The 13,709-nt window shown below is 46.1% G+C and overlaps 1 protein-coding gene and 1 long non-coding RNA gene across 27 annotated transcripts in view, besides 2 other annotated features; one reads left to right on the top strand and one right to left on the bottom strand.

Moving 5' to 3' along the window:
* KALRN (kalirin RhoGEF kinase) overlaps positions 1 to 13,709 on the bottom strand; it is a 692,957-nt gene that overhangs the window by 152,144 nt on the left and 527,104 nt on the right. For all 24 annotated transcript variants that reach the window (XM_006713810.4, XM_017007429.2, XM_011513279.3 and 21 more), the window contains one exon: positions 11,093 to 11,339. In XM_006713810.4, coding sequence (XP_006713873.1) covers positions 11,093 to 11,339 — 247 coding nt within the window. The remainder of the gene's footprint in view (positions 1 to 11,092; positions 11,340 to 13,709) is intronic.
* Positions 1 to 13,709, top strand: part of LOC105374076 (uncharacterized) — a 39,318-nt gene that overhangs the window by 10,378 nt on the left and 15,231 nt on the right. The window lies entirely within an intron of this gene.
* Positions 8,946 to 9,240: an enhancer, noted in NCBI's record as "tiled region #5497; HepG2 Activating non-DNase unmatched - State 8:EnhW". NCBI's record gives its function as "activates a minimal TATA promoter and a strong SV40 promoter by Sharpr-MPRA in HepG2 cells {active_cell/tissue: HepG2}" and the evidence as "EXISTENCE:reporter gene assay evidence [ECO:0000049][PMID:27701403]".
* Positions 8,946 to 9,240: a silencer, noted in NCBI's record as "tiled region #5497; K562 Repressive DNase matched - State 12:CtcfO". NCBI's record gives its function as "represses a minimal TATA promoter and a strong SV40 promoter by Sharpr-MPRA in K562 cells {active_cell/tissue: K562}" and the evidence as "EXISTENCE:reporter gene assay evidence [ECO:0000049][PMID:27701403]".

Below are 13,709 nucleotides of genomic sequence, written 5' to 3'. Positions count from 1 at the left end.
GCCCTTTCATGTCCTAAATAGTATTAGATGGATGTAGCCACAGGCAGGACATCTCAACCAGAACAAAGCAGGCCTGAGGCAGTTTCCACGAAACTCCTCTCTGTCCTGCTCTTCTTTGAATTAAAGAGTGGTCCCCTCATATACACCCAACACTCACAGTGTCAGCACAACCCCCATCACACAGGTCAGCCCATCTCCATAATGTGGTCCAAATGTTACCTTCAAGTACCACAGAATTAATGACAGAGAATAGGTCATGGAGAGGTGCCAGAGGTACAAGCCAAGGAAAAACTTGAATTTTTAGCTCAAATATATCAAATATTATCTCAATCCTCTGGGTTAAAGTCAAAAGAAAGTTATGAGAGGATTAAGCCATTATTTCTTGGGAAATCACGGAGCCAGATGGACCTGCTGTTGGTGGACTGTAGAAAGGACCCAGGGTAGGTTAGGAATAGAGACTGAGGGAAGGGAGCCAGTGCAGACAGGAGGTTGTGCTGGGGCCTCTGAAAACCTATGGAGGCACAATGGCTCGCACTTGTAGTCCCAGCTACTTGGGGGTTGCTGAGGCAGAAGGATCACTTGAACCTGGGAGGTCAAGGCTGCAGTGAGGCCTGATCATGCCACTGAACTCCAGCCTGGGTAATAGAGTGAGACCCTGTCTGGTAAAAAAAAGAAAAAAGAAAACCAATGGAAACTAGAAAGAGAACCCTGACCCCTTGAACAATCCTGGGGATGATTCAGGCTGGAAACACCCTGTACTCAGCCCTATAGAAGTATCAGAACTTAGACAAAGAGCAGGCAGGGAACTTCACATTAACTGACCACCTTTGGTGGGGCATAACTGGACTGCAAAGTCTACCTTGTTGGAGTTTAAGTGCTATTAATCAATTTCACAGATTTTTTAAAGTTAGAATTTTTAGAAATGGAGTCTTGCTCCATTGCCTAGGCTGGAGTGCAGTTGTGCAATCATAGCTCACTGCAGCAATGAACTCAAGCCATCCTCTCTCACGTCCCAGACAGCTAGGACCACAGGTGTATGATCACATCCGGCTTATTTCATAGATTTTAAGTGTCTTACCCAAGGTCATCATCTAGCCAGTGACCAGGATTCAGACTCAGGCCTTCCACCCCAAGACATTTTTTTGGAGACAGGGTCTCGCTCTGCCGCCCAGGCTGGAGTGCAATGGCTCAATGGCAGCTCACTGCAGGCTCGACCTCCTGGGCTCAAGTGATCCTCTTACCTCAACCCTCCAAGTAGCTGAGGCTATAGGCACTCACCACCATGCCCGGCTTTTTAAAAATTTTTCCTAGAGACGGGGTCTCGCTCTGTTGCCCAGGCTGGTCTGGAACTCCTGGGCTCAAGAGGTTCTCCTGCCTCAACCTCTGAAAGTGTTGGGATTACAGACAGACCATGTTTTTATAGTCTACTGCATACCGAGGTAAAGCCACAGACAACTTTTGTTTTATCCTAAACAATCAGCCTGTGCACATAATAATAAAACCAACCTCACAGTTTAAAAATCACTTTTACTTAACATTTCTACCCTTGAGCCTCCCAGCAACTCTGTTACATAGGCATCTTTATCAGCTTCCTTTTGCATAAATGTGGAAGCTAAACCCAGGAAGATTAGGTGACATTCTACTCAAAATAAGTGGCTTCTCATTTCATACCCTGTCTTCTTCCCACCCCATCTGATTCCCTGAGAACTAAATTCTGTTCCGTTTTCAAAGATTTGCCAGTACCCTTTTAAGGAAAAAAAACAGTAGATTACAATACATTAGGTTGGGCCATTTTTAACTGAAATTGCTGACATTCAACCTGTTTTTTTTTTTGTTTTTTGTTTTTTGTTTTTTTTTGAGATGGGGTCTTGCTTTGTCACCCAGACTGGAGTGCAGTGGCACAATCTAGGCTCACTGCAACCTCCACCTCCCTTCCCACTGCAGCCCTTCCCCCACCTCCACCCCCAGCAGCTGGGACCACAGGTGCATGCCACCATGCCCAGCTAATTTTTTGTATTTTTGGTAGAGATGGGGTTTCACCATGTTGCCCAGTCTGGTCTAGAACTCCTGAGCTCAAGTGATCCATCTGCCTTGGCCTCCCAAAGTGCTGGGGTTAAAGATGTGAGCCACTGCACCCAGTCTCAACCATTTTTTACTACAAAAATGGAGATTTCATGCACCCCAAATTAAAAAATTGGACCTCAAAATGAAGATATTTATGCTATGCTTATATGCATCAAAAATAGGATACTTTGGCTGGGTGCAGTGGCTCACACCTGTAATCCCAGCACTTTGGTAGGCCAAGGCAGGCAGATTGCTTGAGCTCAGGAGTTCGAGACCAGCCTGGGCAACATGGCGAAACCTCATCTCTACAAAAAAATACAAAAATTAGCTAGGGATGGTGGCAAGCACCTGTGGTCCCAGCTATTTGCCACTGCACTCCAGCCTGGGCAACAGAGTGAGGCCCTGTCTCCAAAATAAAAAATAGAAAAAAAATAAAATAAACACAGGATACTTTGGTTAATCCCTTTAAATTAACAAAGGTAATTACCTGATGCAGAGAGAAAAAAACAGACATTTTTAGAAGTGGAAAGGATCCTAGAGGTAATTCAGGAAGACATGAATAAAAGGTAATAAAAATGCTACTTTAGAACAAATAGCAATATGAATGACTGTAGGGAATAACCAGGAAAAAAGTCCAGCCTATAGAGAGTCTCAGAGTAGAAGGCACTTGCCTCTAAGCTCTATGCCCAGAGAGGACAACAGATCAGGTGTCTGTGAGTGAGAAACCAGGGGATGCCCAAAGTTCAAGGGTAAGGATGGACTGTGAAGTTCTCAAATCCAAGGACATTGGAAAGGACTATTAATCCATAAACACAAACAATCACTTTAAACAAGTCAGGATTGTTGAATTTAATTAAAAACATTTTGTTCTGCTCTAAGCGTTTAATAAAAGGATTTATGGAGAAATTGCTAGGCTTATATAGCTTAGGAAAGAAGTGTTTAACATTTTATCTGCAAATTGTATTACTTTCTTCTAGATACAGATCAGAAGGAGAGGGAGAATAATAATTAGCACTGGTGGATTTACACTCGGGGCTCGGACGGGGGAGAATAGAAGGAGACGTGGGTAGAAAGTGTTTGGATTTCAGTGCAATATATGAGGAATATTCTAGCCCTTAGAATTACACTAAAATCCAACAGGCTCTAGAAGTAATAAGCTCCCAGTCCCTAGAAGTGCTCAAGTAATGCTTAGCTGACCACTTGTCAAGGACATTGTGGAAGGGGTTTCTTGTATTTGGAAAGAGAGTGAGCTAGAACACCTTTCACCTGCTTTTCAATTCTAAGATCCCAGGAGCCAAAAGAAGCCAATGTTCTGGAGTCAAATTAAATCTATTCAAGAACCGGTTTTATCCAGTTATAAAAAGAGTAAGTTTCAACTCTAACTTTTTATGATTCTGAAAAATGTCAAGGAGCTCCTTTTAGACTCTCTCCATCTATCTTTAAACATACTTTTCTTCAAAAAGTATCAGTACTCAAATAAATTACAACATTTCTTATTCAAATGCATTATTTTTGGGTTTCAGCTATTCTTACCCAACAGTATTATAATTTTTAAAAACACCATACCACACCTTTTCATTGCAAACATAGGGTAATTCAGCTATGCTAATATAAAGGAAAATGTTGTGGGCTAGTGTGGAAACCTGTTCTCACCCTCATTGATCATACTCCCATGTATACTTCTGCTTCTATGAGGAAGTGAGTTCTGAATCTCAAAGGACTACCTCACATCTAGTCAATTACCAGTACAATCCTATACAAATGAAGAGGATTGAAGGATCGTACTTCAATCCTGCAATTGAGGACTGTAGGATAAAGTAAATCAGCAAGCTGCAATTTATAACATGTCACTTCGTACCTGAAAGGAAATGTTTAGGGAATATTCATCCTCTAATTATTTTTTTAGCCTCCCATAGTGAAGCCATGTTAGGCATTATGGCATAAATGAAAAACCTGAGGGTAGGGCTCCTAATGCAGAATTATACTGAAAAGTAAGAGGTAGAGAAAGACCTTTGGAGGACTCTCCTGGTAGGCAGAGGAGCCTGAACTTTTTGGCATTTTGGCTCCTGGCAGCAGAAAGTGCAGGGGACTTCCATCCTGCAGACAATCTGTTGAACAGGCTGGGCCAGCACCAGGGGTTGGCAGGCCGCTATCAGAGTTGGACTAAGCTCAGCCTGCTGTCCAGAGTGCTCCTTGGAGTCATTCTGCTCCAGCTGAGGACATCAGAATCTTATTAGTTGGCAAAGCACCCACAGGACAAAATCTGTCTCTGATTACTACCACTCCTCCTAGAGAGTGGGGCATTTGGGGCCAGAGGTGAGAGGGAGAGTGGGAAGGTGGGTATGTGTAACTATAATGGGGTTAATGCTCTTAGATTCAGCTAGACTGGCTAACAAGCCAAGTCAGATGGGAGAATAAACTAAAGTGCCTGTCTCAAAGGCTTTCAGACTTGGGAGGGTGTAGAACACAGTGGTAAAGTGAGACCTTGGGAAATGGACAGGCGTGGGTTCAAATTTAGGCCCACTGCTTGTCAGCTATGTGACTTTGAGCATATTACCTAATCTTTTTAAGACTCAGTGTCTTTATCTGTAAGATGAGGAAAATATTATTGCTATTAGCATAAAGCAACCCAGAACCTGACCCATGGTAAAGCTCAATAAATGTTAGGTATTTTTGTGAGTTGGTGACACACTTAACACAAGTCGACATTATCAAACTTGCCCGGCATTCTCAGGCTGTTGATGGTAATTGCCTTCAGAGCCCAAGTTTTATCCACGGTTCTCCACCACCTTCTGCAGCATGGGGAAGCTGTTCCTGAGGCCAAGTAGGTGGTAACAGCAGAAATCATCAGGAGGCCTTCAGGGAGAGGACTCCTCATGAACAAGCCAGGGGTGCCATGGGCCACTGTCCCTCTCCTCTAGAGCATCTGCTTCTGAGGCTCACGGGGGAAGCCTTGGACTTGGTTTCATAAGCAGAGAGGTATTTCCTTACAGCTTCTCCAGACCCTCAGCCCCAGCCAGGGAAGAAAGTGCACAGGAAAAGGAACACAGGTGTCCTGTACAGCCAGGTACAGAAGAACCTAGACTGGTTATTGGAGCCTGGGGCAGAAGTACCCAGGACCAATACTTTTTAAAAGCCATTCTCACCATTTTTAAGTGTACAGTTCAGTGGCATTAAGTCCATTCACATTGTCATGCAACCATCATCACCATCCATCTCCAGAACATTTTTCATCTTGCAAAACTGAAACTCTGTACCCAACAGGCACTAATTCCCCATTCCCTCCAGCCCCTGGCAATCATCATTCTTTCTACATCTAAAAAGTTGACTACTCAAGGTATTTCATTTAAATGGAATCATATAGTATTTGTCCTTTTGTGTCTGGCTTGTTTCACTTATCCTAATGTCCTCAAGGTTCATTCATGTTGTGGCATGTGTTAGAATTTCCTAACTTTCTAAGGCTGAAGAGTATCCCATTGTATGTATATATTCAATTCACCTGTTGCTGGACACTGGGGTTGCTTTCACCTTTTGACTATTGTGAATAATGCTGCTATGAGCATGGGTGTACAAATTTCTGCTTGTGTCCTTGCTTTCAATTCCTTTGGATATATACTCAGATGTTGGATTGCTAGATGATATGATAATCTTATTTTTACTTTTTTGAGGAATCCCATACTGTTTTCCATGGCAGCTGTACCATTTTGCATTCCCACCAGCAGTGTACAAGGGTTCCAATTTCTCCACATCCTCATAACACTTGTTATTTTCTGTGTGTGCACATTTTAAACAATAGCCATCCTTTGCAGTGACATGTTATTGTTGTTTTGATTATCATTTTCCTAGCAATAATTAGTGATGTTGAATATCTTTTCATGTACTTATTGGTCACTTGTATATCTTCTTTGGAGAAATTTCTGTTTAAGTCCTTTGTCCATTTTTAAATTTAGTTTTTGGTTGTTGTTGTTGAGTTGCAGGAGTTCTTTATATAATCTGGACATTAACCCTCAACCTTTCTAATACATCTTTAAGTATCTCCTAAGCTTGACACCCTGGGGGTGCTGAGTCCACAAAGCAGTGGTTCTCAACCCTAAGGGAACATCAGAATCACTAAGTTTGTTCTTCTTCTTTTTTTTTCCCCCTGAGATAGAGTCTCACTCTTTTGCCCAGGCTGGAGTGCAGTGGCGTGAACACAGCTCACTATAGCCCTGAACCCTCAGGCTCAAGCAATCCTCCCATCTCAGCCTCCTGAATAGCTGGGACTACAGGTGCATGCCACTATGCCCGGCTAATTTTTTTCTTTTTATTTTTTTCACAAAAGAACTTAAAAATATACTGATGTCCAGGTCCTTGGCAGCTGGATTAATTGTTCTGGGGTGGATATGAGGCATCAGTATTTTTAGAAACCTCCTCCAGGTGGTTTCTAAGGTGCATCCAGAGTTGGAAACCACTGCTACAAAGGCTTGCCTCTTGGGAGGTGCTGCCCTCCACCACCTGCTGCTGTGAAAGTGAGAGGGGCCTGTGGAAAGGCAGGACTAGGGCTGGAGGGCCCAATCCCAGTGAGAAGCCCTAAGATGTCAGAGTGGCAGTAAAGTAGCAGGAAAGGCAGCCCCACCCCAATTCTGACACACAGCCCCACTCTTTTTCACCAACCCCATCATGAATGACACCAAGACTTATCAGGAGGAAATAACCAACCACTGCTCCCACAGAAGGCAGAGGAGGGAAGGGCAGAGAGGAGCCCTAGCACTACCCAGAAGCTCAACAGGTGCTGGGAGCCCTGGTCTGCTCCAGCTTGGCCACAGACTCCCTGTGGCTTCAGGGAGGTCACCTTGCTTTCCTGAGCCTGAGTGTTCTCTTGGAAGAGAGGAGACCGGGCTAGTGCAGTGGTTCTCAACCCTGACTGCACCTTAGATTCACCTATGGAACACTTAAAAATACTGACCCTCAGGCCCCATCCAGAGATTCTGATTCCATTTGTTCTAGGTGGGGTCTGGGCATTGTCATTTGGAAAAGCTCCCAGATGATTCTCATGTGCAGCCAGCGTTGGGAACCCTGTGCTAGTGGATCATCAAGAACCATCCTGTGGTTCTTTTGTCCCCATTTCTGGGGTGATAGTCATGGCCTGAGCACTCACAAGGTGCTTAGCCCTCACACATAGTCCCTGCTTCACACAGCCTGCAAGAGTGCTGACTTGGTGCTCTCTGCAAATGCTAAGAGGACCAGTTCTCTTATGGGAATTGAAAAAGGAATTGATTCCAACCTCCTGACACCAGATGAGACCACTCTGTCCTATTCCACAACCCCCAGAGGAACATTTTATTCTCAATCTAGTTGTGCATAACTTATAAGGTAAAGCACCCACTGGAGACAAATTACTGCTGAGAGAAGAAAAGGCGGTTTGCCAAGCAGGCAGCCAGCTGGAATAAGAGAAGGAATAGCTTATTGGGTCTTAGCTAAGGCCAACACTCTGGGCAGACCCCAGAGAGACAGGGAAAGGGTTTTGAGGCTGGGCTATGTGCATAACTGCACACACTTTCAAATGGGGTCTAGTTAAGGGCATAAGGAGTGCTCCATGGAGAATGCAGACTTAGGTCCTTTTTTTTTTTTTTTGAGACAGGGTTTCACTCTGCAACCCAGGCTGGAGCACAGTGGTATGATCATGGCTCACTGCAGCCTCAGCCTCCCAGGGTCAGGTGATCCTCCCACCTCAGCCTCCTGAGTAGCTGGGACTATATAGGTGCACACCACCCCACCTGGCTAATTTTTAAATTTTTTTTGTAGAGACAGGGTTTCGCCATGTTGCCCAGGCTGGTCTCGAACGCCTGAGCCTGAGCAATCCACCTGCTTCAGCCTCCCAAAGTGCTGGGATTACAGGAGTGAGCCACTGCGCCTGGCCGACTTAGGTCCTTGACTGTTGGGAGTCGGGGACCTCTGTATTCAGAGCTCACATGGGTGAGAAGATAGTAAGACCTCACAGGATGCCATTTGAAAGCTCAGCATAATTGGCCTAAGCTTGGGGAAACAGGAACCAACCTGGAAATAAAAAGCCAAAGAAATGGGTGATAGGCACTGCTGGTACCTTTAAGAAGCTATGCTGGTTGGCAGAATTAGCTGGAAAGTTCTATGACAGCCTCCCTCCCAGCTTTGTCTCTTGCCTCTATTTTCCATTCCTGGTCTTCATCTCCTATTTTTAGTTAAATCTCCACTAATCTGTCCTATAGTCGAGACAACCCCCAGTCCTGTGCAATTCTTACCCTGAATGCTTCCACCTCCCACTTCGGGATCACAGATTGACTCTGACACTGCTCTCTGGCTTTCCACCTTGGGTTTGCTCCTGCGAAGTTGCACATGTGGCAGCCCCAGCAGGGAGGGAGTGCACATTTTACCCAGCCTCAGGCTAGGAGGCCAGGTCTAGGTCAGGAAGTCTCATCTTCCCTTGAAGCTGAGTCCCTCCTGATGAAAACGACCCACACCTGGGGATCCAAGGAACGTTAGCCTTTTGCGGCAAATGAATTGCTGTGCTTGATTTTGTCTCTGCAGATGGGTCTCTCAACTGGACTTGTGGGAGTGTGTAGTTATTTTGCTGGATAATCTATGGCAAATGATATAATAGCAAAAACTTATCATGACAACTAAAGTGCATTGAATGCCAGGCACTGCTGTGTTTTGTCTCCATTACCTCATTTTACCCTCACAATCTACCTTCTGTGTACCCTCTTCTCCTCTTGGCTAGACTTCAAGCGGAACCAGATTCCTGAGTTTCCTTGATTTTCCTCTTGTGCCTGCAATTTCAAATTCCCACACAACTTCCTGACACAGTCCCTCCTTAGTCCTCAGAGGACAGGGGGGAAAGCAGGCAATGATTAAATTGGGAGTGGAGGGCACGAGGAGAATTAGGACGTCGGTCTTAGCTGACATTTTTCTCCTGGTGGAAAAAACCCTGGAAGGCTGGATGCAGCACAAACAATTCAGCCTGCTGCTGCCATCTAGTGGAGGAAAGGAAGTCAGGCTTTGGAGGTAGACCAGATGGCACTCCAGACACCGGAGTGTTTTAAATATGTTCTGAGTTCACAGTTAACCATCAGGAAGCCTGCAGCAGGTCTCCATGCTGACCCTCGTCCCCATCTTCCTCTCCTAGAAATATCTAGCACAGGTCTGCATAGAAGGCATGCCTGCTGCTGATTATCTGGCCAGTTACAAAAATAAGCCCAGAACTAAGGCCTGGCTTTGGCTTCCTCAGTGTAAAATGCTTGGCTGCAAGGCCTCTGCCACTTGGACTTCACAAGTCAGTGGATCTCAAACTCAAATGTGCATCAGAGCCACCTGGAAGGCTTGTTAAAATACAGACTGTTGGGACCCACCGGCTCTGGAGGAGTGGGGGTTCTGATCATTTGCGTTTCTTTCTTTTTTAAAATTAAATTTAAAAACACTTTTTGAGGCAGGACCTTGCTCTGTCACCCAGTCTGGAGTGCAGTGGTGCAAGCATGGTTTACTGTAATCTTGTCTTCCCAGGCTCAAATGATCCTCCTGCCCCAGCCCCCCACTGAGTAGCTGGAACTATGGGTGTGTGCCACCATGCCTGGCTAAAATTTTTTAGTTTTGTAGAGATGGGGGTCTCACTATGTTGCCCAGTCTGGTCTCAAACTCCTAGCCTCAAGCCAGCCTCCCAAAGTGTTGGGATTACAGGTGTGAGCCACTGTACCTGGCTTTTAACTTTGATTTTTTATTTTTAGAGGTGCGGTCTTTCTCTGTCAGCCAGGTTGGAGCGCAGCGATGCAATCATAGCTCACTGCAGCCTCAAACTCCTGGGCTCAAGTGATCCTCCTGCCTCACCATGCCCTGAGTAGTTGGAACTACAAGTGAACACCACCTTGCCCAGCTAATTTTTTTTTTTTTTTTTTTTTTTTTTTGAGACGGAGTTTCGCTCTGTCGCCCAGGCTGGAGTGCGGTGGCGCGATCTCGACTCACTGCAAGCTCCGCCTCCCGGGTTCACGCCATTCTCCTGCCTCAGCCTCCCGAGTAGCTGGGACTACAGGCGTGCGCCACCATGCCCGGCTAATTTTTGTATTTTGCCCAGCTAATTTTTTTAATTTTTTTTTTTTTTTTTTTGAGACAGAGTCTCGCTCTGTTGCCCAGGCTGGAGTGCAGTGGCACAATCTTGGCTTGCTGCAGCCTCATGGCAACCTCAGCCTCTCGGGTTCAAGTGATTCTCCTGCCTCAGCCTCCCAAGTAGCTGGGACTACAGGTATGTGCCGCCTTGCATTTTTAAATTTTTGTAGAGACAGGGTCTCACTAAGTTGCCCAGGCTGGCACCTGCATTTCTAACAGGTTCCCAGGGCATGCTGATATTACTAATCCAGAGACCACCCCTAAAGAAACACTGTCATGAGGAGTTTAGTCTCCCTGGCATGAGAAAAAGTGAGTAAACAGGCATGTGAAGGGAACACAGAGCTTACATACAATAAAAGCCAAGGCTAGAATACTTTATCTGTTGAAGGCACATAAAGGAGTCATGGACCTCAAAGCCTGGCTGGGCTGAGGGAAGGATCAGATCTGACTCAGCTGTGGCTCCTCCCTGGGTGTGCCTGGTGTCTCCAGGTCAGCATGTGAGTACTTGGTCGGGGGTCAGAGAGCCAGAAGTTGCTGTGGAGCGGGAGTGGGTCAGTGGAGAAAGGATGAGTCTAAACCATATTTGGCCAAAGGTAGAAGAGGACTTTCCCGAATGTAGTGTGATATGATGGGAAAACTGGAAGAGATCTTGGAGGTTACTTAATTCAACCTTCATTTCCAAGATGAAACTGACTCAGGAAGGCTAAATGACTTTCCCAAAGTCACACACAGTTACTCGGGAGCTCTTCCTCTCCAAGTTCCCAACCCATTCTCTTCACAGTCAGGTCCCAAAGAAACCCCACAGGGTAAAAATGGGTCTGTGAGACAGGTCACTTCCATGGTGGTCTTCAGCTAGAGTCAGGCCAGCGCTCATGGCCTCCTTGGTCTGTGCCTCCCACCCGCTCTGTTCTCCTACCTTTCACCAAGGGGAAGAAGCAGTCCATCTCCACGCTGCTTCGGGAGTGTGAGATGCACAGGGCGCTGCTGGGGACCAGACCCTCCAAGGGCGGGCTCCGTTCGGTGGTACGGACCAGACACCAACCAGGCCGCTCGCTGGGCCGCTCCAGCAGCTCTACCGTCTGCCCCACCTGGATGGTCAGCTCACTGCTGTGGCCCGCACTGAAGTCCTGGAGGACCACTGTCAGCTCACATCCACCAGAGAGCTTTGGAGGGTGGTGGTGGAGGGAGTAGAACAGGAGGGCATGGAGGAAGGGGGGAGAAATATGGGAGAGGGTTGGTGAGAGGGGACGAAGGATGTGTGAGAGCAGAGGTAAGGAGGAAGAGAAGGGGAATAAAGAGGAAAAATGGTGTTTAGGGCAGAGAGATGGCAGAAGATGAAAAGGAGAGTTGAGAACAGGAAAGAAAACAAGAAAAAAATGTAATTAGCACAGTGCTATTCAATCACTCAGGCTTTCTAGCTGTAGCCACAGTCTGAAGCCTGCCCAGAACCAGGGCTTTGATTCTAATTCCTCTTACTTCGTTAGAGCTCATTATTCCTTTGCCAAGCTTCAGCTAATTGTGCCGTTAAACCCCTTCCCTATATGCCCCTTTACTCCTTCCAAGGGTTCTACCCTGTGCCCTGTCCCTGCCCTGACTACCACCCTCAGACTCCTATTGTATGGGCATCTATTCTAACTCACCCCTCCCATTAGATTCTCACTAGATGATAGGGAATAATGGAAGAGACAGCCTTCCTTCCTTCTAACCCCTGCAACACCTCCCATCCCCACCCCTTACTGGAGCCATCAGCCTAAAATCGAGGCTACGAGGACTACAAAAAGAATGGGGCTTCAATTCAAAGGCAGAAGTAAAGCAATGTCTGTCTGGGAGGGGAATAGCCTCAAAGGCTCAGGCACTGGGGACCAGGAGGAAGAATCAGAAGGGAAGACGGGCCACTTCTTACTTAGGAGCATACGCCCAGCCCTCATGCTCCATGCTGGCTTGTCTCCACACTGGCATCTTCCTAATTCACTGATCCTGGGGCAGAAGCAATAAAAGGGGTTGACAGGAACAACCCCTACTGGCTGAATGCTGAGACTTCTCACTTTTTCACCTTGGGGATTTGGCCCCACTTCCCCCCTTTCTTCTGGCTTCATATTTCCATGAGAATCCATTCGGTTATTAGTTTGTCTCATAGAACTAAGTACAGTCTCCCTCTTGGAAGAGCAGCTGCACTTAGAGGCAGAGTGACAGGTAGGGAACGGAAGGAATGAGGAGGCTGAGGCCCAGCTTGGTAGCCTGTTATCCTCTAAAGTTCACCCCAAAAGCAGTTTGGAGGCAAAGTCCTTGCACCACCTCCAGGAATTCGACTTCAGTCTGTGCATCTCTGATTTAAGCCTTCAGGGCCCAAATTTTCTGCACCAGTGGCCATATTAGTGCACTTGTCCAAATATGTTGTGTAGCCATTTCACACACATTCTGGGAAGCTTCTGCCCAGTGGCATACACAGTGAACGCCACAGTGAGTAGATAATTAACAGTCCCACCAGGACCAAAAGCTCAGCATTCAGGACTGTGAGAGATTTACACTAAAGGGACTTCGATATCAGAGGGGGCTTGAAACGGTTAAAATAATGCATCAGACTGATGTTGGCAATATGCATCACCACCAGTTACAGGGCAGGGAGTCTGTGCTAACCACGTCCCCATAGGACTGCCATTGGGATCAGATCAGGAAATCTGCAGGACAGAAGGTAGAAGGTAGAAGGTGGAAGGAGACAGAAGAAAATATTTTTCCATTTAACTCTCCTGGTCCCATTAAATGCAGTCTTCACTCCCCCACTCTCCTGGTGCTATCCTCCTTAAAAACATCACAGAGAGAAGGATTTTGTGGGATGGAAACACCTCAAATCTCTAGAGTACTTTTACAGTTAGCAAAATACCTTTGCATTAATTATCTACTTGGTCCTCACAATAACCAGGTGGTACTATCATCTCCATCTCATACATCAGGAAATTCAAGCTCAGAAATGTCAATATCAGTGGTTAGGCATTGAGTATACATAAAAATCATGTGGAGAGCTAATAAAATGGAGATTCCCTAGCAGTTCCTTCTCTTGCTCCACCCCTCAATCACACATCATGATTCAGTAGGCCTGGGTTAGGGCCTGGGAATGCCTTCCACTGCCCCCAGACAGGGTCTCATTCTGAAACCCAGGCTGGAATGCAGTGGTGCAATCTTGGCTCACTGCAGTTTCTACCTCTCTGGCTCAAGTGATCCTCCCACCTCAGCCTGCTGAGTAGCTGGGACCGGTGTGTACCCAGTAGGTGGTACAGGTGTGTACCACCACACTCAGCTAATTTTTATTTTTATTTTTGTAGCGACATGGTCTCACTATGTTTTTCTTGAACTCCTGGGCTCAACTGATCCTCCCGCTTCAGTCTCCCAAAGTGCTGGGATTCAGATTCCAAAGTGCTCTGTAAGAAATACACTTCATATTTTGACCAGGGAACACTACATGTGAATAGATTTATCACTGAAACACAAGCTCCACTCTGACATTCTATTTTATGTTTTTCTCTATTGCTGTTGAC

This window comes from Homo sapiens, chromosome 3 (genome assembly GCF_000001405.40).
Source record: "Homo sapiens chromosome 3, GRCh38.p14 Primary Assembly".
NCBI classification, from domain to species: domain Eukaryota; kingdom Metazoa; phylum Chordata; class Mammalia; order Primates; family Hominidae; genus Homo; species Homo sapiens.
The sequence above is the reverse complement of the archived record's forward strand: the minus strand, read 5'-3'. Positions and strand labels throughout refer to the sequence as shown.